Consider the following 23058-nt stretch of genomic DNA (forward strand, 5'->3'; position numbering starts at 1 on the left):
TAGACCATAGGGAACTGGATTAATGGATTATGGTGTATAAACATAATTGAATCTGAAGCAACCACTAAGGATTATTTTAGAGGAGTTGTTAACAATTTGGAAAATGTTCACAATAAATTGAGGTGGAAGACTGTGTTAGAAAATAGTATGTGAGGTATCACCACACTTTTGTAATAAGAAATTTACATGTTTGTGTAGAGAAAAGGACTGCAACTACAGAATCAAAATGTTAATTATGCTTATCTCTGATTGATGGAATTATTGGTGAGTTCATTTTATTCTTTATGAGTTTTGTATGTTCTTCAAATATTCTACAATGAAAGTATTTACTTTTAGAGCCAGAAAAATTATTTTAGAAAATGGGCAAAAACATATCACTTAAGAAGTGGTGTGATATGGTTTGGCTGTGTCCCCGTCCAAATCTCATCTTGAATTGTAGTTCCCGTAATCTCCATGTGTCATGGAAAAGACCCAGTGGGAAGTAATTGAATCATGGGGGTGGTTCCCCCATGCTATTCTCATGATAGTAAGTTCTCACAAGATTTGATGTTTTTATAAGGGGCTTCCCCCTTTGCTTGGTTCTCATTCTCTTTGCTGCCACCATGTGAAGAAGGACGTTTGCTTCTCTTTCTGCAATGGTTGTAAGATTCCTGAGGCCTCCTCATCCCTGCAGGAATGTGAGTCAATTAAATCTCATTTCTTTATAACTTACCCAGTCTTGGGTATTTCTTCATGGTAGTGTGAGAATGGACTAATACATGGTGTTTGCCTTCTATTATTCTAAAACACTTATCTAAACTCAGACCTAAAAACTGGGCAGGTAAAATGGTGTCACACCTCTAAACCAAGGAGCAGATGAGAATTCTATATTATGCATAGCAAATGAGCCAAACATCTGGGATTCTAGGACACTTTCTGCTGTTGACACCAGTAGGTGATCTGATAACATTTAAGTCTACTTATGTTTCAACATTTCTGGAAATAGTCGCATGTACCATGTTTCCTCCACTCTAAATAAGACCTCCTGGCAGCATCTTTCATTAGATGTCATAGTCAAGAACATTAGCTCTTCTGTGTAAATCCTTTGGCTGAGCCCATCTCCTTCAGCTTCTTCAAAGTTTCACCTTAATCCCTTACTTTGTTCAGTATCCTTTATATTGGGTTATCTCATATCAACCTCAGAACTTTCTCACAATGACATATTTTTGAAACATCTTTCCTGTCCTGTAAGAATATGTTAAGACATTCCCATGGCTATGTGACCATTTTCAGCTCCCAGCCAGGCCCAGCTGTGTGCATGTAGGATTACCCTCCACTCAACTTGTAGCCCAGCCTGGCCAGACAAAGAGGAGAGAAAAGGCTGCATGAGGTTATCTGCAGGGAGATGTGCCTGAGGCAACTCCAGATAACTTTTGAGCACTTCCATGAGTGGGGCTTGAGTATGGAGAAGGAGGAAGAGGAGCAGCATGGTTGAGAGAGGTGCAGGCATGGCAGAGAAAGCTGTTTTATTTTTTGTCTTTTTAATAATAGCCATTCTAATTGGGGTAAAATGATACCTTATCGTGGTTTTGATTTGCATTTCCCTGATGATTAGTGATAGTGAGCATTTTTTCATATATCTGCTGTTCATTTTTAGGTCTTCTTTTGAGAATTGTCTATTCATGTCATTTTTCCACATTTTAATGAAATATTTGTTTTGCCTTGTTATTATTGAGTTGTTTGTATATTATTGTATATTCTAGATGTTAGTCCCTTCTCAGATGAATAGTTTGCAGATATTTTCTCCCATTTAACATGTTGTCTCTTCACTCTGTCAACTGTTTCGTTTGATGTTCAGAAGGCTCTTAGTTGCATATAGTTCAATTTATCTATTTTTGTTTTAGTTGTCTGTGCTTTTGAGGTCTTAGCCATAAAATATTTGTTTAAACCAATGTCTGGAAATGTTTTCACTATGTTTTCTACTAATAATTTTATAGTTTCAGGTCTTACATGTAAGTCTTTAGTCCATCTTGAGTTGATTTTTGTATACAGTGAGAGGTAGAGGTCCAGTTTCATTCTTCTGCCTATGGATACCCAGTTTTCCCAGCACCATTTATTGAAGATGGTGTCCTTTCCCCAGTGTATGTTCTTGCCATCTTGTCAAAAATTAGTTGGCTGTAAATATGTAGATTCATTTCTGGATTCTCTATTCTGTTCCATTGGTCTATGTGTCTACTTTTATACCAATAGCATGCTGGTTTGGTTACTTTACTCTTATAATATATTTTGAAGTTAGGAAGTGTGAAGCCTCCAGCTTTGTTTTTTCTGCTCAGGATTACTTTGGCTATTCTGGCTTTTTTTGTTTGTTTGTTTCCATATGAATTTTAGGATTTTTTTTTCTATTTCTGTGAAAAATGGCAGTGGTGTTTGATAGTGAGTACATTGAGCCTATATATTGCTTTGGGTTATATGGCCATTTAAATGATATTAATTCTTTTGATCCAGGAGTATGGGATGACTTTCCGTTTGTTTTTGTCCTCTTTAACTTCTTTCATCAGTGTTTTGTAGTCTTCCTTGTAGAGATATTTCACCTCCTTAAATTTACTCCTAGGTATTTTTTTTTGTAGCTGCTGTAAATGGATTGCCTTCTTGATTTCTTCTGGCTATTTGATTATTGGTATATCAAAACACTACTGATTTTTGTATATTGATTTTGCATCTTCCAACTTTACTGAATTTGCTTATCAGATCTAAGAGATTTTTGGTGGAGGGAGTCTTTTGGTTTTTCCAAATACATCAATGATAGACTAGATAAAGAAAACATGCTACATAAACACCACAGAATACTATGCAGCCATTAAATGAACAAGATCATGTCCTTTGCAGGGACATAGATTGAGCTGGAGTCCATTATCCTTAGTAAACTAACGCAGGAACAGAAAAGCAAATACCACATGTTCTCACTCATAAGTGGGAGCTGAATAATGAGAACACATGGACACATGGGCGATGGGAAACAACACACACCAGGGCCTGTGGGAGGGCTGGGGGTGGGAGGAGAAAAAGCATCATAGCTAATAAATGCTGGGTTTAATACCTGGGTGATGGGATGATCTGTTGACCAAACCACCATGGCACACATTTACCTATGTAACAAACTTGCACATCCTGCATGTGTACCCCAGAACTTAAAATAAAAGTTGGAAAAAAGAAATTATGTCATCTACAAAGAGGGACAATTTGAATTCCTCTTTTCCAATTTGGATCCCTTTTATTTTTTTCTCTTGCTTGATTGCATTGGCAATAATATGCAGTACTATGTTGAATAGGAGTAGTGAAAGTGGGTATCCTTGTCTTGTCTCAATTCTTAGAGGAAAGGCTCTCAATTTTAACCCACTCAGTATAATCTTAGCTGTGAATTTGTCATATATGTCCTTTATTATTTTGAGATGTAATCCCTCTATACCTAGTTTGTTGAGAGTTTTTCTCATGAAAGGATGTCCAATTATATCAAATATTTTTTCTGTATCTATTGGGATGATTATATGGTTTTTGTCCTTCATCCTGTTGATGTGGATATATAATGTTTACTGATTTCTGTATGTTAAAACATTCTTGCATCCCTGATATAAATTCCACTTGATCATGGTGTATTATCTTTTTGATGTGCCGTTGAACTCGGTTTGCTAGTATTTTGCTGAGGATTCTTGTGTTTATGTTCAGCAGGGATATTGGCCTGTAGTTTGTGTGTGTGTGTGTGTGTGTGTGTGTGTGTGTGTGTGTTCTTGTCTGGTTTTGGTATCAGATTAATGCTGGTGCCATACAATGAGTTAGGGAGAATTCTCTCCCTTCAATTGTTTGGAATAGATAGAGGAGCATAGATATTAGTTCTTTTTATGTTTGGTAAAATTTGGCAGTGAATCTATTCAGTCTTGGGCTTTTCCTTTTTGGGAGACTTTTTATTATTGATTTAATATTGCTACTCATTATTAGTCTATTCAAGTTTTTAATTTCTTCCTGATTCAGTGTTGGTAGGTTTTATGTTTTCTGGAATTTATTCATTTCCTCTAGGTTTTCCAGTTTGTTATCATATAGTTGTTCATAATAGTCTCTGATAATCTTTTGTATTTCTGTGGTATCAGTTGTAATGTCTCCTTCTTCATTTCTGATTTTGTTTATTTGGGTTTCCTTCTTTTCATGGTTAGTCTAGCTGGTGGTTTATTGATTTTGTTTATATTTTTGAAGAACTAACTTATTGTTTTGTTGATTCTTTTCATTTTTAAGCTCTATTTCATTTTCTTCTGCCTTAATCTTTATTATTTCTCTTCTGCTACTTTTGAGTTTGATTTATTCTTGCTTTTCTAGTTCTTTGAGGCACATTGTTAGATTGCTTATTTGAGACTTTCCTATTTTTTGATCTAGGTGTTTATTGCTATAAACTTCCCTCTTAATACTGCTTTTGCTGTATCCCACAGGTTTTGGTATGTTGTGTATCCATTTTCATGTGTTTCAAGATATTGTTTGGTTTATATCTTGATTTCTTTATTGACCTAATGGTTGTTCTGGAGCATGTCATTTAATTTTTATGTATTTGTATGCTTTCCAAAGTTCCTTTCATATTTATTTCAAGTTTTATTCCATTGTGGTCTGAGAAGATACTTGATATGATTTTGATTTTTAAAAATTTGTTGAGTTTTTTTGTTGTCTAACATATGTTTTTTTTCTGGAGAGTGTTTCATGTGCTGATAAGAAGAATGTGTATTCTGCAGTTGTTGCATAAAATATTCTGTAAATGTGTGTTAGGTCCATTTTGTCTAAAGTCCAGTGGGTGTTAAAAATCCCCTGCTATTATTGTATTAAAGTCTATCTCTCTGTTTATATCTAGTAATATTTGCCTTATGAATCTGGTTGCTCTATGTTGGATGCATATATATTTAGAATTGGTATATCCTTCTCCCTGGATCAATCCCTTTATTGTTATGTAATGACCTTCTTTGTCTTTTTTAAAAACTGTTTTTGACTTAAAATCTCTTTTATATGATATCAGCATAGCTATTCCTGCTTGCTTTTGGTTTTAATTTGCATGAAATATCTATTTCCATCTCTTCAGTTTCAGTCTATATGTGTTTCTATAGGTAAAATGTGTTTCTTATAGGCCACATACAGTTGGATCTTTCTTATTTTTTATTTTTGACAGGGCCTCACTTTGTCACTCAGGCTGGAGTGCCGTGGCAAAATTATGGCTCACTGCAGCCTTGACTTTCTATGCTCAAACAATCCTCCCACCTCAGCCTCCCAAGCAGTTGGGACTACAGGCACATGCCACCATGCCTGGCTAATATTTAATATTCAATTTTTTTGTAGAGATAGGGACTCACTGTGTTGCCCATGTTGGTCTTAAACTCCTGGGCTCAAGAAATCCTCTCACCTTGGCCTCGCAAAACGTTGAGACTACAGGCATGAGCCACTGCAACCAGCCATTTTTTAAAAAAACTCTATTCGGCCAGTCTGTATATTTTGAGTGAAGAATTTAATTCATTTACATTCAAAGTTATTATTGATATGTGAGGTTTTGTTCCTGTCGTCAAATTGTTAACTATTTTCTGATTGTTTCCTATCTTCTTTGATCCTTTCTTTTTCTCTTACATTTGTCATCATGGTTTGGTGGTTTCCTGTAGTGATGATTTGAATCCTTTCTCTTCCTCATTTGTGTACTTGCCTTACTAGCGTATTTTGTAATTTTGTGTGTTTTCATGATGGTAAATATCATCCTTTTGCTTCCTGGTTTAGTACTCCTTTGAGAATTTCTTGTAGGGCTGGTTCAGTGGTAATAAATTTTCTCAGCTTCTGTTTGTATGGGAAATACTTTATTTCTCCTTCATTTATGAAGGATAATGATGCCAGATATAGTATCTTTGACTGGCAGTTTTCTTCTTTCATCACTTTAAATGTATCATCCCATTCTCTCCTAGCCTGTAAGGTTTCTGCTGAGAAATCCATTTTTCATTTAATGAAGATTCCTTTATAGGTGACTACACACTTTTCTCTTGCTGTTTTTAGAATTCTTTCTTTGCCATTGACTTTAGATATCTTGATTAAAATGTGCTGTGAAGAAGAGCTTTTTTATTGTATCTATTTGGGGATTGCTAGGCTCCTTGTATATGGCTGTCCTAATCTCTTGCTGGACTTGGAAGCTTTCATGTACTATTTTGTCAAATAAGTTTTCTAAACCATTTATTCTCTCTTCACCCTCTAGTACCCTGATAATTTGAATATTTGGTCACTTTATGGTGTTCTGTATGTCAGGAAGGCTTCACTCATTCTTTTAATTTTTTTTTCCTTTTTTTCTTACTGGGTTATTTAAAATGATGTGATTCAAGTTCTCAGATTCTTTCTTCTTCTTGATTTAGTCTATTGTTGAAGCTTGTATTTCATTCAATAAATTATTCAGTTCCAGAATTTCTGGGGTCTTTTTAATGATATCTGTCTCTTTGGTAAATTTCTCATTCATATTCTGAATTGTTTTTTTAAATTTCTTTTTCAGAATTTTCCTGTATCTCACTGAGCTTCTTTTGAATCAATAATCTGAATTCTTTTTTCAGGATCTTATGACTTTCTTTTTTACTGTGATCTGTTGCTGGAGAATTATTGTGTTCCTTTGGAGGCATCATATTTCCTTGCTTTTTCATGTTTCCTGTGTCCTTATATTGATATTTGTGCATCTAGTGTAATAGTCATTTCTTCTACTTTTCTACTTTGTGAATTTGTTTATATATGGGAAGATGTTTTCCTGAAGATGATTAATCTATAGTGCTGGTGGGGTAGGGCACTTTGGCTGTAATTCTTGCTGTGTGCAGTAGTGTAATCTCTGTATCATTTCTTTGGCTGTAAACAGCACCAGTGGTATCTGATTTTTTTCAGTGTCTCAGGGTGCAGTTATTAGTGGAGGCTGTGTTGAAGTTTTGCTGGGGACTGGAATGCCATGTAGGCCAGTCTTTTGGTTCCAGTGGTGGTAGTGGCAGGATGAGCATGCCTGTTTTGGGGCCCTAGGGTGATGTACACTGGTACTGGTATTAGCAGGTCCAGGCAGGCTAATTCTTGGGCCTTCAGGTGGCATACTCAGATGCCAGCAGTGGCGGCAGTGGGCTGGGCAGGTGGGTGGGTTCTCAGGTCCCTGGGCAGCTGGTGTGACATGGGCACTGGCAGGGGCAAGATGACCCTCTGTGTCCTGAAAGTTGTGTGTGCTTGTGTAGGCAGTGGCTACAGTGGGCTAGATGGTTCAGTCTCCAAGCCAGCAGGTGGCACATGCAAGTAGGTGCCAGCTGAGGATGTGGTGACCCAGTGGATAGTCCTAACTTCAGGGCCCTGTGGGGGAGTGTTAAGGTACCAATAATGGTGGAGTAGGTTGGGAAAATCCCTGGCATCCAAACTGTGTGCTTTGGCTTGGGGTGGCAGTGGAGGGTTGGGGACTTGCACAGCTAGGCCAGGTGGTCTTATCTTCAGGCCTTCCGATGAAGTGTGTGGGTGCCAGCCATAATAGGGAAAAGTGGGGTAATCCCCAGCCCATCTGAATAATGCTCAACTCGAGGGTGGCAGTGGCTGCAATCCTGCCCTGTTATTAGGGAGGGCAGGCTGATGGGTGGGGAACATACACACCACTTGTGACTCAGCTCTGGTAGTGTTCATGCTTCAGTCCCTGCTTTAGTAACCCTGCCTCAGTCATGCCTTAGCCGCAGCTGCAGTGGCCTATGGTCGCTCATGGAACCCTGGAGGCATCAGTCTGTGCTTTTCTCTTTTTTTTTCTCCTTGATTTCTTTTAATTCCTGGAAACACTGAATTGTTGGATGTTAGGAATATTATAAGGCTGAAGAATATGGTTTAATATTTCACAGTTGTAAACGCGTGTGTGTGTGTGTGCACGTGTGTGCATGCATACACATGTGTGGGATCAGCAATATAATTTGCAGGGCCCAGTGCAAAATGAAAGTACAAGTCTCCGTGTTCAAAAATTATTTAGAATTTCAAAATGGCAACAGCAGAGACTAAGTTCTGAGCGCAAAGCCATGTGCATAGGTTGCATGTCTGTGAAGCTGGCCTTGTTTGTATGTTTTTTTTTAATTCAACAGTTTTGGGGGAACAGGTGGTTTTTGGTTACATGGATAAGTTCTTTAGTCATGATTTCTGAGATTTTGGTGCATCTGTCACCTGAGCCATGTACACTGTACCCAATATATAGTCTTTTATCCCTTATCCCCCTCACCGTTCTTCCCCCTGAATCCCCAAAGTCGATTATATCATTCTTATGCCTTTGCATCCTTATAGTTTAGCTCCCATTTATGATATTTTCTGCCTGGACCTGCTAATACCAGTACCAGTGTACACCACTCTAGGGCCCCAAGACAGAGATGCTCAGCCTGCCATTGACACCAGTGGGACCAAAAGACCGGCCTGCATGGCATTCCAGTCCCCAGCAAAACTTCACCACGGCCTCCACTAATATATGATATTTGGTTTTCCATTCCTGAGTTACTTCACCTAGAATAATGGCCTCCAACTCCATCCAAGTTGCTGCAAAGGCCATTGTTTTCTTCCATTTTATGTCTGAGTAGTATTCCATGGTGTATATGGAATTTTCTTTATCCACTCGGTTGATGGGCATTTAGGTTGGTTCCATATATTTGCAATTACGAATTGTGCTCCTATAAACATGTATGTGCATGTGTCTTTTTTACATAATGACTTCTTTTCCTTTGGGCAGATACCCAGTAGTGGAATTGCTGGATCAGATGATAGTTCTACTTTTAATTCTTTAAGGAATCTCCGTACTGTTTTCTATAGTGGTTTTACTAGTTTACATTCCCACTAGTAGTGTAAAAGTGTTCCCTTTTCAACATATCCATGCCAACATCTACTATTTTTTTATTTTTAACTATGGCCATTCTTGCAAGAGTAAGGTGGTATCTCATTGTGATTTTAATTTGCATTTCTCTGATAATTAGTGACGGTGAGCATTTTTTCATATGTTTGTAGGTTGTTTGTATATCTTTTTTTGTGGATTATCTATTCATGTCCTTTGCCCAGTTTTTTGATGGGATTGTTTTTTTTTTTCTTGCTGATCTGGTTGAGTTCCTTGTAGATTCTGGATATTATTTCTTTGTCAGATGCATAGTTTGCAAATATTTTCTCCCACTCTATGGTTTGTCTGTTTACTCTGCTAATTATCTTTTCTGCTGCACAGAAGCCTTTTAGTTTAATTACATCCCATTTATCTATTTTGCTTTTGTTGCATTTGCTTTTGGGTTCTTAGTTGTTCTTCTTTTTTTCCTCAGCCTTTGTGCTGCTGGACTCCAGGACAGTGTGCAGTCTGTTATGGGTAGGCCTCTAAAATGGCTTCTTGCTGTAGCTGCTTAGGTTTCAGGGAATGTGTGGGACCTAGCATGGGCTCCCTCCCTCTAACTGTGCCATCACACAATATCCTGGCAGCTCCATATGTTAATTTCAGGGCTCAAAGATGGTTGAGGGGCTCTCTCATAGCTAGGATTGTGGAAGTCCACAGTAGAAATGTGGACTGTTGAGGGGCTCTCACTTACCCTTTTGGTAGTTCTGTTTTTAATTTTTAAGGAACCTCCCTACCGTTTTCCATAATGGAAAATGGTACCAATTTATATTTCTACTAACAGTGTACAACGGTTCACATTATTCTACATCTTTTCCAACACTTGCTATCTCGTGTTTTTAAATAATAGCCATCCTAACAAGTGTGAGGTGATATCTCATTGTGGTTTTGATTTGCATTTTTGTGATGATTAGTGGTGTTGAGCACCTTTTCATATACCTATTGGGCATTTATATGTGCTCTTTTGAGAAATTTCTATTCAGGTATATTGCTTATATTTAAATTGGGTTATATGTTTTTTTGCTATTGAGTTGTATATGTTCTTTACGTATTTTGGATATTAACCCCTTGTCAGATGTATCGTTTGTGAATGTTTCCTCCCATTCTCTAAGTTGTCTTTTCATTTTATTGGTTGTTTTCTTTGTTATGTGGAAGATTTTTAGTTGATATAGTCCCCTTGTTGGTGTCTGTTTTCATTGTCTGTGCTTTGGGGATCATATACAAAAAAATTATTGCCAGGAGCAATGTCAAGGAACTTTTTCTCTATGTTTCCTTCTAGAAGTTTTACAGTTTCAGGTCTTACATTTATTCAAATTTTCAATTCATTTTGAGGTAATTTTTGTGTATAGTGTAAGATAAGGATCCAAATTCATTTATTTGCCTGAAGATATCCAATTTTCCTAGCACCATTTATTGAAGACCCTATCATTTCCCTGTTGTGTATTCTTGGTTTCTGTTTCAAAGATTATCAACCACATATGTGTGAGTTTATTTTTGGGCTATCTCTTCTGTTCCATTGGCCTATGTGAATGTTTTTATGCCAGTACCATACTGTTTTGATTACTATAGCTTTGTAGTGAACTTTGAAACCAGGTAGTGTGATGCCTCCAGCTTTTTTTTTTTTTTTTTAATTGAAGATTGCTTTGGCCATTTGGGGTCTTTTGTGGTCCCATACAAATTGTAGTGGCTTTTTTCTATTCTGTGAGGAGTGACATTGGAATTTTGATAAGAATTGCATTGAAACCTGTAGATAACTTTGGATAGTATGAACATTTTAACAATATTAACTTTTTCAATCCATGAACATGGGATGTCTTTTCATTTATTTCTATCTTCTTCAATTTCTTTTATCAATGTCTCATTGTTTAGTATACATATCTTTCACCTCCTTGGTTAAATTTATTCCTAAGTATTTTATTCTTTTTGATGATAAATGAGATTTTTTTCTTAATGTCTCTTTTTCAGGTAGTTTGTTGTTAGTGTACAGAAACACAACTAATTTTACGTATTTGTTTAGTATCCTACAACTTTACTAAATTAGTTTATTAATTCTAACAATTTTGATAGAATCTTTAGGATTTTTACATATGAGATCATGTCATCTGAAAACAGAGATAATTTGACTTCTTTCATTCCAATTTGGATCCTTTTATTCCTTTAGCTACTCTAATTGTTCTGGCTATGACTTGAATGTTGCAGTTAATAGATGTGGCAAGGATGGACATCCTTGTCTTTTTCCTGATCTTAGAGAAATGCTTTCAGCTTTTCACTAGCAAGTATGATGTTCATTGTGGGTTTGTCCTATATTGCCTTTATTATGTTGAGGTACTTTTCTTTTGTGCTTAAGTGGTTGACAAGTGTCTTTTTTTAATTATAAAAAGATATTGTATTTTGTCAAATGCTTTCTCTGCATCTATTGAGATAATAATGTGATTTTAATCTTTCATTATATTAATGTGATGTATCATGTTTATTGATTTGTATATGTTGAACCACTTTTTCATCTCAAGGATAAGTCCCACTTAATCACGTTGAATGGTTCTTTATTGTGCTGTTGAATTGGGTTCGCTAGGATTTGGTTGAAGTTTTTTGCATCCATACACATCAGAGATATTGGCCTGATTTCATGTTCTTGTCTAACTTTGGTATGAGGGTAATGCTGGCCTCATAAAATGAGTTTAGAAGCACTCCCTCCTCAAGACTAAGCAAAGAGAAGAAATCTGGAGGCATCACATTACCTGACATCAAACTATACTATAAGGCCATTGTCACCAAAACAGCATTGTAGTGGTATAAAAATATGCAAATAGACCAAAATGAAACAATAGAGAACCCAGATATAAAGCCAAATACATACAGCCAACTGATGTTGACAAAGCAAATCAAAACATAAGGTAGGGAAAGAATGCCCTATTCAACAAATGGTGCTGGGATAATTGGAAAGCCAGGATCCAGTAGAAGAATGAAACTGAATCCTCATCTCTCACCTCATACAAAAATCAACTGAGTATGGATTAATGACTTAAATATAAGACCTGAAACCATACAATTTCTAGAAGATAACATCAGAAAAACCCTTCTAGACACTGGCTTAGGCAAAGACTTCATGTCCAAGAACCCAAAAGCAAATGCAGCAAAAACAAAAATAAATAGATGGGACTTAATTAAACTAAAAAGTTTCTGCACAGCAAAAAAAAAATCATCAGTAGAGTAAACAGACCACCCACAAAGTGAGAGAAAATCTTCACAATCTATACATCTGCCAAAGGACTAATATCCAGAATCTACAAGGAACTTAAACAAATCAGCAAGAATAAAACAAACAAACCCATCAAAAAGTGGTCTAAGGACATGAATAGACAGTTTACAAAAGAAGATATACAAATGGCCAACAGGCATATGAAAAAATGCTCAACATTGCTAATGATCAGGGAAATGCAAATCAAACTACAATGTGATACCATCTTCTGCAAGAATGGCCATAATCAAAAAATAAAAAAAATAGATGTTGATGTGGATATTGTGAAAAGGGAACACCTTTACACTGCTGGTGGGAATGTAAACTAGTACAGCCACTATAGAAAACAGTGTAAAGATTCCTTAAATAACTAAAAATAGAACTACCATTTTATTCAGCAATCCCACTACCGGGTATCTACCCAGAGGAAAATAAGTCATTATACAAAAAAGATAATTGCACGCACATGTTTATAGCTGCACAATTCATAATTGCAAAAATATGGAACGAGTGAAAATGCCCATCAATCATTGAGTGGATAAAGTAATTGTGGCATATATATATACCATGGAATACTATTCAGCCATAAAAAGGAATAAAATAATGGCATTTACAGCAACTTGGGTGGAATTGGAGACTGTTATTCTAAGTGAAGTAACTCAGGAATGGAAAACCAAACATCGTATGTTCTTACTCTTAATTGGGAGCTAAGCTATGAGGATGCAAAGGCATAAGGATAATACAATGAACTTTGGGGACTTGGGAAGAAAGAATGGGAGGTGGGTTAGGGATGAAAGACTACAAATTGGGTACAGTGTATACTCTTTGGGTGATGGGTGCACCAAAACCTCACAAATCACTGCTAAAGAACTTACTCATGTAATCAAACAACAACTGTTCCCCAAAAACCTATGGAAATAAAAATTTTAAAAAAGAAAAAGTGTTCCCTCCTCTTCAATTTTTTGAGAGCTTGAGAAGGATAAGCATTCGTTCTTCTCAACATGTTCAGAAGAATTCAACCATGAAGCTACCTTGCCTTGGGCTTTTCTTTGTTGGGAGGTTTTGATTACTGCTTCAATCTCCTTACTCATTATTGTTTTGTTCAGATTTTCTGTTTATTCATGATTCAGTCTTGGTAGGTTGTGTATTTCTAGAAATGTATCCATTTCTTCTAGGTTATCCAATGTGCTGGTCTATAATTATTCATTGTAGTCTCTTACGATGCTTGGTATTTCTGTGGCATTAATTGTAAGGTATCCTCCTCCATTTATAATTTTATTTATTTGAACTCTTTTTCTGTTGGTTAATTGAGCTAAAGGTTTGTCGATTTTTTTTAAGACAGATCCTCACTCTGTTGCCCAGGCTGGAGTGCAGTGGTGCCACCTCAGCTCATGGCAACCTCTGCCTCCTGGGTTCAAGCAATTCTCTAGCCTCAGCCTCCTGAGTATCTGGGATTACAGGCACCTGCTACCAAGTCTGGCTAATTTTTGTACTTTTAGTAGAGATGGAGATTCACCATGTTGACCAGGCTGGTCTTGAACTCCTGATCTCAAGTGATCCACCTGCCTCAGCTTCCCAAAGTGCTGGGATTACAGGTGTGAGCCACTGTGCCAGGCCAGGTTTGTCAAATTTTATCTTTTCAAAAAGCCAACTCTTAGTTTTGTTGATCTTTTCTATTGTTTTTCTAGTCTCTATATTATTTATATTTGCTGTGATCTTTATTATTTTCTTCCTTCTACTAATCTTGGGCTTAGTTTTTTCTTCTTTTGCTAGTTCCTTGAAGTGTAGCATTCGATTGTTTGAGGGCTTTCTGTTTTCTTAATGTACACATTTATTACTATGAATTTTCCTTTAGAACTGCTTTTGCTGCATTCCATAAGTTTTGATATTACAATTATCTTTCGAGAAGACTCAGCTTTGAGAAGACTCCCTCTGTGATCAATACATTTTCCTCCAATTTCTTAAGAGTGTGGTCTCTTATATAAAATCTTTTTACAACTCACTTCAATCAGTTAAATATTATTTAAAATTAATTTTATTTTAAAACTGCATGGCAGACAATTTCAAATTATGTTTAAGTTTTTCCATCAACTCTGGCCTACACCAACTGTATAGGCTTTGCTCACATATGCCAATGTTAATGTTGTTTTCACCTCCATTTCATCTGTTTTCTCCCTCCCACTTTTAACAGCTAATGTGTGGATAACATTATCATATCAACTCTTTAGGAGTCCATGGTGAAATCACTTTAAATCTACTTGGTTTTCTGTTTAAATATTAACTTAAACATATGAAGTGACGACAGCAATGTCATGAAATTGATTTGGATTACTATTAAGAAAGTAATTGGATTGATTTTTAAAAACTTGACTTGCTATTCATCAAGTGTTTCTGTATAAAAAGTCAGATAAAAATGGAACCAACCTGAAAAATGGCACAGGATTTTGTTCAGCCTTATAACTATGACCAAAGCCACCCTGTAAATGCTTGCCTTATCATTTCTTTCCATCTTTCTCCATCCATTAGCCTCTTACTTAATATTGAAGACTCAACTCTAACCCTAATTCCTTTGTAAAGTCTTCCCTCACTACCTCAACTGCTAGTGCTCTGGTACCTCCTCTGATCTTCTAGTTTAATTATTCTTTGAAAAATAGTTATTGATCACATATTTATTGAAAGTTGTATTTGTTATAAAGCAGTGAAAAAACAAACCAACAGTTCTTTAAGCATATAGTAAACCGAGTTAAGTTACATGAGGAAAAAGTAGAAGATACTGTGGGAAAGGATAATGGGAGACCATTCTAGAGGGGGGATCCGTGGAAGGTCTCCTTGAGACAATGATTTTTAGTTCATGTCCTGATTGTTGGAGAGGATGAATTAGGAGGGGAAGAAGGGAGTAGGTTCTAGTTATAGGGAACAGTGTGGCTCTGAGTGTCCTGAAACTTGTAAGAATTTAAAGCATTTCAGGAACAGAGAAAAGCCCAATGTATTTGGAGTTAGGCAAGTGAGGGAGAGAGCATAGAGAGATGAGGTTAAGGGGAAGAGTGGGGATGGATTATGCAGGGCTAAATAGAATGTATTAAAAATGGTGAACTTTTCTTGACATCAATGGGAGGCCTTTAACATCAAGCAGGGCTGTGACAGAGTATATTTGGATTTTATGAAAGACCTCTTTGACTCTTGTGAGAAGGATAGACTGCAGGAGGCAAGGGAAGATGAAAGAAAGCCAGTTAGGAAGTTTCTGCACCTATTAAAGGTAAGAGATGATGGTGGCTGGTACTAGCGAGGTAGTAATGGAGATAAAGACGTGAACATATTTGAGATGTAACTGATTATCTGTATCATTCATTTGGCACTTACGGCATATTGCTCTGAAATTTAAAAAATTATGTGTCTTTTCCTCACTTCTACCTCTCCTTCCTGAAGATAGGGACTATACCTTTTATTTCTCATGGTGACTTGAACAGAGTGGACACTATATGAAGACTGGTGAGTTGATTTAAAAATGTAATAGAGGAGCAGACTTTATATTTCTGTTATTACCACCGCCTGGCTTCTTTTAAACCGAAGCTTGATTTCTTTTAGGATCCTATAGTCTTCACTTTCTCGTGGCCCCATCCCCATCCTTGCTTGTACTTCCTTATCCTGGCAGCACTTAAAAATATGACTTTGAAGCGAAATCAAGTTAAACATGGTAGCAGATAAAGATATTAATAAATTTTTGTTAGTCTCTCCTTCTGTATGTTGTAAAAATATATTTATTGAAACTCTCTGTGCATAAAAAATGCCTTCTTTTTAAGGAATTCTAGAAAACCCTAAAGAGACTACCACATCAGAAGTAGAGCACAGACCATTATTCACTTGTTTCATTTTCTCTGTGGCAGGTGAAGGTGTGAATTATGCCACAGAAGTTATTCCAGCAAGAGCACCTGCTGGGACAGGGCTTCTAGAATGAGCAACATTTGTTTGGTGTAATCTTAGAAGCACCAAAATATACTCCTCTCCTAGGTTTCTCTTGTTCAGCTTGCCAGGCTGTGTGGCCTCTGGAGTCCTCCAGTCAGCCCTCCTTTGGGTTAGTGCCTGAGCATGTTATTAGACACAAGCACTCCCCAATATCCCAAGGTTTTCTGCAGTCAGTGTGGCCTTGTAAAACTCCCTGTGTCTCTATGCTGTGATAGATGAAGTCTACGGTACTTTTAAATGCAAACTTTTTAGGATTGTATTTTATTAGTATCTTACCATGTATTAATCTAGTGAAGTGACTTCAGATATCCAAGGAGATTTCTTAAGGAAAGCTCTAGTGCATGGAGCATTGCCTGGAGCACTGCATGGAGCACAGCTGCCTCCCCCCTCACCACTGTCCATCAGAGCCATAGGCCTCACAGGATTTTTAGGGAACAAACTCCTGCTTTGCCTGACAAGTCAGATGATGTTCAGCATCAAGAAGATTTTTAGTCATGACCACAGAAATATTCAGGTATAATAAAGCCCCTAAAAGGGACAGGAATTTCTAAATATAGGCATATGCTGGAAAAAAGGTGGAATAGTTCTTATTCCAAGGCCCCAACCTGAAATAAACGAACAAATAAAAGTTAGGGAAGGACAACTGGACTCTGTTATTCTTGCAGCAGGAAGAACTCTGGGTAGTCATGGTTTTTATGATTCTTCTCTTGATCCCTGGCACCTAGCACAGTGTGGCATACCATAAGCACACTGTCAGTGTTTATTGAATGAATGGAAGACACATTCCAGTGCCAGCAGGGTGGGAGTTCCTTAATGTGCACATACCGCCTGCCTTGAGTGGGTAAGGAACAGTCCCAGCTAGGCTTTAAATGTAACACCTTCTTAAGGTGGCTTGGTAAGGCATGCAGAGTGAAGGTGCAGAGGGAGGGAATGTCACCCATAGTTTCCCAAAGGCTATTCCAGCCTTTATTTGACCCCAGGAATAATGCTTACATAGGATGGCGTGCTGATTCAAGCTTGTGGGAAAATTACCCTTTTCAGTGAGAGTTGTCAGAAACAAGACTCCAAAGCAGAAGAAAATGGAATCTGCTGTTTTTCTTCTTGTGAGTGTCTGGCTGTCTAGAAAAATCTCAAAGCCTTGACTTTGAGGATTAGCTCTGCCCAGGTGCAGCCTGGTTTTTTTATCCCCATTAAAATCCACCAAGGGGACTTGTAACGTGCCGCAGAAATAATAGAGATGTAAGGTGGAATTTACACATCTGGAGAGCTTTTAATGAATGAGGAAATAGGGATGGTTACCTGGCAACCCTGAGTAAGTGCAAATTAATCCATTTTTATTTGCTGTCAGGAGGGCAGTTCAAGGCTTCCACTTTGTTGGGTCAGAATGAAAGCTGATGATGCTCTAGTGGAGTTTTGGGATTTTGCTTAATTTTAATTTCACCCTCATCTCTATGCTTGGTACTTATCCTGCTGGCACAAATTTGAAATGGGTTGACTCCACTATAGGCCTTTATTTGGAGCAGTTATTCTAACTCATGAATCCTTATAAAATGTTGGTGAGGCACACCAGTCAAGTTCTGTTTCTCAGTTTGAAGCCTGTGAAGATCAAGGAGTTCAGTGTTAAGTTACTCTTCTGGTGTTGGCCAGAATAAAGGCAGAATTGTCAGACTGGTCAGTTTGTTTATGGCTCCCTTTAATTGTGCCCTGTCTACACAGGCTGTGGTAGTCTCATGGTATCTTGACTTCAACCTGAAGATAATTTATACTAAGGTACTAACAATACCGTGATACTGTTTTAATTCAATAAAAATTAATTTTTGTTAAATTTCATTGCATTTTTTTGTTACGAGTTTTTGTTACAAAAAATGCAATGGATAAAGATGATAGTTCCTTTTGGTTTGTAAGGAAGAGATGATAGTTACAAGCAGAGCTAACATCTCTGTGCCTAATACATTAATTTTTATTAAGAAGAAATATTGTTAATACCTTTATTTATGTTATTGTAGCTTAATTAAGATTTTATAGGTAGTATTGGTGACCACAGCTAATTCTGGGGGTTGTCATATTTTGTTTAGAGTTGCCATATTACATGCTATAGTGCAAAGTATATTAACTTGGGTAGCAGAAGCTGTGTTCCTATTCCTTAGCCATTCTGAGTGTCAGTGTAAAATGACAGTTATTCTCGATAAGCACAAAATTCCTACCCATGTTTAAATTCTATGACTTCATGACTATGTTTAAACCGAGATTAGGGAATGATTATATCTTAAAACTAAGAGAATTAAGTACATGCATGTGTACTCTGATAGACTCTTATTTGTTCAAATGTTCTGTTTTTGGTACTTAAAAAAAATTCCACTGGTGTTGTCTATTTATTGGAGACAGCCTGGGGGTCCTTAACCCCTGACTTGATTCTTTTTTTTTTTTTAACCTAAAACACTGCTTGGCTTTGGATTTGACTTTTTTGATTCCAGCAGCCACCTGATCAGTCCTGCCTGTTTGCACCACACCCCGCACCTCCTTCAAAAGCTCGAGAATCCGGCCCGTATACTGGGACAAGCCATGTTGGAGAGCAACACTTTCCAATATGGACCTGAATATACTTTTCCTTGCCAGAGATTTTTCCCATCAGAATAATGAAGCATTTAACATAGTTTTTCTAATTCCTCTATTGTTATCATGGTTTAAAAACAAGAATGCTTGTTTCCAGATGTCTCATTTGACAGTACCCAGGAACACATGGGAATATTTTGTAGTGGCTGACAGAGTGGGTTGGAGAAAATAAAAAACAGATGGACACAGATTAACCCTATCTGTTCCTGGTCTAGGCTTCTCTCTGGATTCTAGTCATGGGATTTTTTTTTCTACCAGTTTCATCTCATAAGGGCAATCACAAGCTTGGCAATGAATCAGAGGAAAACACTGAGTACTGGTTCGAGCACCCCGTGTGTAAATTCATGTTACATTATATACTGCCTGGTGTTGGGCAGTATTTTGTATCAGTTGATCTCTAGATGCAAAGAGGGAGATTTGGCCTGAATAAAACACTCTTTGACCAGCCACTCCTGCTGTTCAATAATTATAGGGAAAGTTAGTACTCAAAGACCCTCTGGGTAAATTAACATTGCTTCCTATTAGCCATAATTTGAACCTTGAATATGTATGTGGTCTTCTTTTATGCTGAACATAATAACTTTTTCTACATAAGATCTAAAGATAAAGTGGACTTCTTGGCCCCGTTTCTTTGAGTCCATTATCATGATCTCAGCCTTCTGGATCTTTTTACTCTGATTATGAGAAGAGGTATGAGAAGTGAACAGAAACAGATATCTTCCTCAGAGGGATGAGCCTCGCCATCCCTTCCTTGAAAGTCACAGGTTTAGCATATTTTTGAGGAAAGGAGGCCTCTACTTCCAACTAGGAGATGGTTCAATTCTGTCTCCCATCACCAGTCTCATAGGCATGTCTTAGGTCCTACATACAGAACCTATGATAGGGATTATTGTCAAGCAATTGATTGATGGAGTACTCTCCAAAGAAGAGAAGTGAGAGAAGCAGGGTAGGGCAGTAAAGAATGCTAACCAAGGAAGTTGTCTGTCCTGGAAACTAGTTTCAGTCTGGCTGCATGAGGAAGCCTTGGGGCACAACGTACACCACAGAGATGTTCTTGACTTGAGGCAAGAGGGCTGATCTGGTCTTTTGTACCCTCAGATCAAGTCAGTCTTTGGCCACGGGCTGCCCCTAAGAAGGAATAGGGTAATCTCCTAGTCCTGTTTGGTCAAGGGCAATTACCTGGAGAAGAGGGCAACTGTGTACCTTTTGCAGCCAAAACCCACAGCAGCCAGGGCATGGACACACTAACCTAGGCAAGGTGATCTTGCAGGGCACCAAAAGAACCCACTATGGGTGGGAAGAGAGAGAAATAAGTCATGCCAAAGTTATTATAATGCAAGGGGGAAATAATTTATTCACTTCTTTTACCCAAAGCTCTACTCTTTACAATGGAATGTTCTTGACATGTATCAGAGCTTCTTCTTCTTGACAATAGAGCTGGTGGGAAGGAGAATCTTGAGCTATCCCCAGGGATTAGAGAATGTATTTAATTTGGATCCAAAAGCTTCTGCATAGGATTCCTCTGGCAATAGAGAATAACAATATGCTTGATAGCTGCCCAGTTAGTTTTTAACGTGGAGAACAGTGATGTCTTTGGGATTTTCTCTACTTTCATTTAGTTATGTCACTTTTGTATGTTTGTACATCTTGGAAGATTGCTTCCATTCTTCATAGCTGGGATCCAATAAAAACTTCCTAAAAAGAGGCACTAGGTTCGTGTACTTATTTTATTACTTCTGGGTCTCTATTTCATAGATTGTCATTCTATCATTTTGGTAATAGTTGGAAAATTGTAGATTCTTGGAACTTAAATATTAGTTTATACAATTTCTTAATTTCAAAAATGAGATTCTAGAGCCCAAAAGTTAAATAACTTGTTCAGGTTATAGAACAAATTTGTCCTAGAGGGAGAGAAACTGAGCAGCAACTGGATTTGTGCTATTGATTTTGATTTGCAATGCAAATCATTTGCAATGATTTTGAGTTTTTTTTTACCCCAGTTTTCTTTTCTTATCAGTGATAACTATGAAGTAATCACTTTTTGATAATATTTTTTCACAGTCCTCTTAGGGTGAGGAGAGTTTTCAATACCCTCCTTGTAACAGGGGAACATTCCTCCTCCTCCTTCTTCCTTCTTTCTTTTACTTAAGAAGAAATTATAATCCAGTTGTTTAGATTGAAGGAAAATGATTACACCATGGTTGCCATGGTGTAGTGCCTAGCACAAATGTCTGGCATGTGGTAGAACCTCAATAAACATTGTTGAATGAATGATTGAATAATGAATAACTTTATCTGAGGTCATTTAACTAGTTCCCTATAGTGCTGGGATTCAAAATCCAAGTCTGTTCAACTTCAACATCATAAACTTTTTATTAAATTATATTGTCTGACAACCTTATGATAAATTTTTAGGGCTTATGTTTCAAAGTAGGAAATTAATTTTATATTCAATAAGACAATAATCAGATACTACGTTTATTACCTGAGTGACAAAATAATCTCTATAGCAAATCCTCAGGACATGCAATTTACCTGTGTAACAAACCTGCACATGTACCCTGGAACCTAAAATAAAAGTTAAAAAAAGAAGAGACAGTAACATACCTTTTTACTCAGCTTAAATAACAAGTTCATTGTCATGAGTGTGGCTACCATGTATGATTGTTCATATTGATTGGCCCACATTCTAGCCTAGAGAGAATATAATACCTGCATCAATGATGCATTTTAAAAACCTATTTATTAAGTACCTTTTACAAGCAATAATTTGTGCTAAATTCTTCAGAAACTAAATAATCTAAAACATGAGCTACCCCTTCTTTCAAAGAATTTATAAATATAGTTGCAGAAAAATACATCCATATCTAAAGGCTAACAATATAATCAGGTATTTTTATGTAGCAAAACCAAATGGTATGAATTGAAGAACAGTAAGACTGACTTTTCACTTCTATTCCCAACAACATGGCAGAAGAGATAATCCAAAAGATCCTACTCAAAGAAACAAAAAAATTCTGATGAAAGTATCAAAAATCATCTTTTAAAATATATTATTGAGTTGGTACAAAAGAGAGGAATGGTCAGAGCCTTAAAATTAAGAGAAAGCAGAAACCCTGGGTGTCAAATTAAAAAAAGGAAAGAAAGGAAGGAAGGAAGGAAGGAAAAGAAAAAGAAAGAAAGAAAGAAAGAAAGAAAAAAGAAAGAGAAAGAAAGAAAGAAGAAAGAAAGAAGAAAGAAAGAAAGAAAGAAAGAGAGAAAGAGAAAGAAAGAAAACCTCAACACCAGCTCTTATCCTAAGGGTTTGTGCTGAATTCTGGCAATCCAGAGTTTCAACCTTGATAGTGGCATTAAGGTTAATACTCTATGAAAGCATCTATACACTTGGGATTTATACTGAGCTCATGTGAACAGCTGTCTATAGAGTCAAGGACTTATAAAAAGTAGGAAAAAAGTAGATTTTAAAGTAGTGTGCACAGTCTGACTGAAATGTCCTTTATGAAACACATATTATATATGAGAACTATGCCAAGGTATTCCTGTCTGCATAGTGAGGTTTTGAGTGATTTTTATTTTCTCTTTATATTATTGTAAATTTTCCCAGGTTTCTGTAATAAAATACTATTGTTTTTATAATAAAAAATATGCTGAGGACTTCCTACATTTGTACTTGGGATGTAGAAAACTGGAAAAAGCATAGGTCCTGCACTCATACAACCAAAAAACAACAAATAAACTAGACAAATTGCAAATTCACAATTTTTCTTAATCCATCAGAGAACTGAGCACACAGAGACTTCAAGGAGAAATGAGACATGAACCCTTGTTTATTTGGGGATTTGGGGCAGACACAGCTGATCACTAGTAAGAAGAACCTAGCTAAAGTTACTAAATTAGTATGGCAAAATGTGGGCTAGATTATACAAACCTTTCGGGAGGATAATATAAAGGGAATTTTTATCTACTTACAGGCAATTCACAACAGAGCTCACCAGGTACTCTCAGAAAAGATTGGCAAGAGTCCTGAGAAAGTGTCCCTCATGGCACAGGCCTGGGGCAGAAAACAGCAATCTCTGCAGAAAAGACACAAAATCTCATCCAAATCTTTTCTTCTCACTGGAAAAAGAAAGCCTTACATATTATGTGTGTGTGGGAGGAAGTATAGCAACTACTGACATGCTTAAGGAAATAGAATCCATTGCAGTTAAGAGACATGTGAACATAAAACAAAACAAAACAACAGCAAAAAATAAAACTTCCTCCCATAAGGGAGGAGTGAGAATAAAGTTCTGGGCCTAGAACTACAGATAGAAGAGGGACAGGAGTGTGAAGAAGGCCATACTTTCAAGACTCATGAATACAGCCTAAG

The 23058-nt window shown here is 37.0% G+C and overlaps 1 long non-coding RNA gene across 2 annotated transcripts in view; it reads left to right on the top strand.

Annotated features, from left to right (window-relative positions):
• Positions 1-23058, top strand: part of LOC107986620 (uncharacterized) — a 175866-nt gene that overhangs the window by 20872 nt on the left and 131936 nt on the right. The window lies entirely within an intron of this gene.

The sequence above is a fragment of the Homo sapiens genome, chromosome 6 (genome assembly GCF_000001405.40).
Source record: "Homo sapiens chromosome 6, GRCh38.p14 Primary Assembly".
NCBI classification, from domain to species: Eukaryota; Metazoa; Chordata; class Mammalia; order Primates; family Hominidae; genus Homo; species Homo sapiens.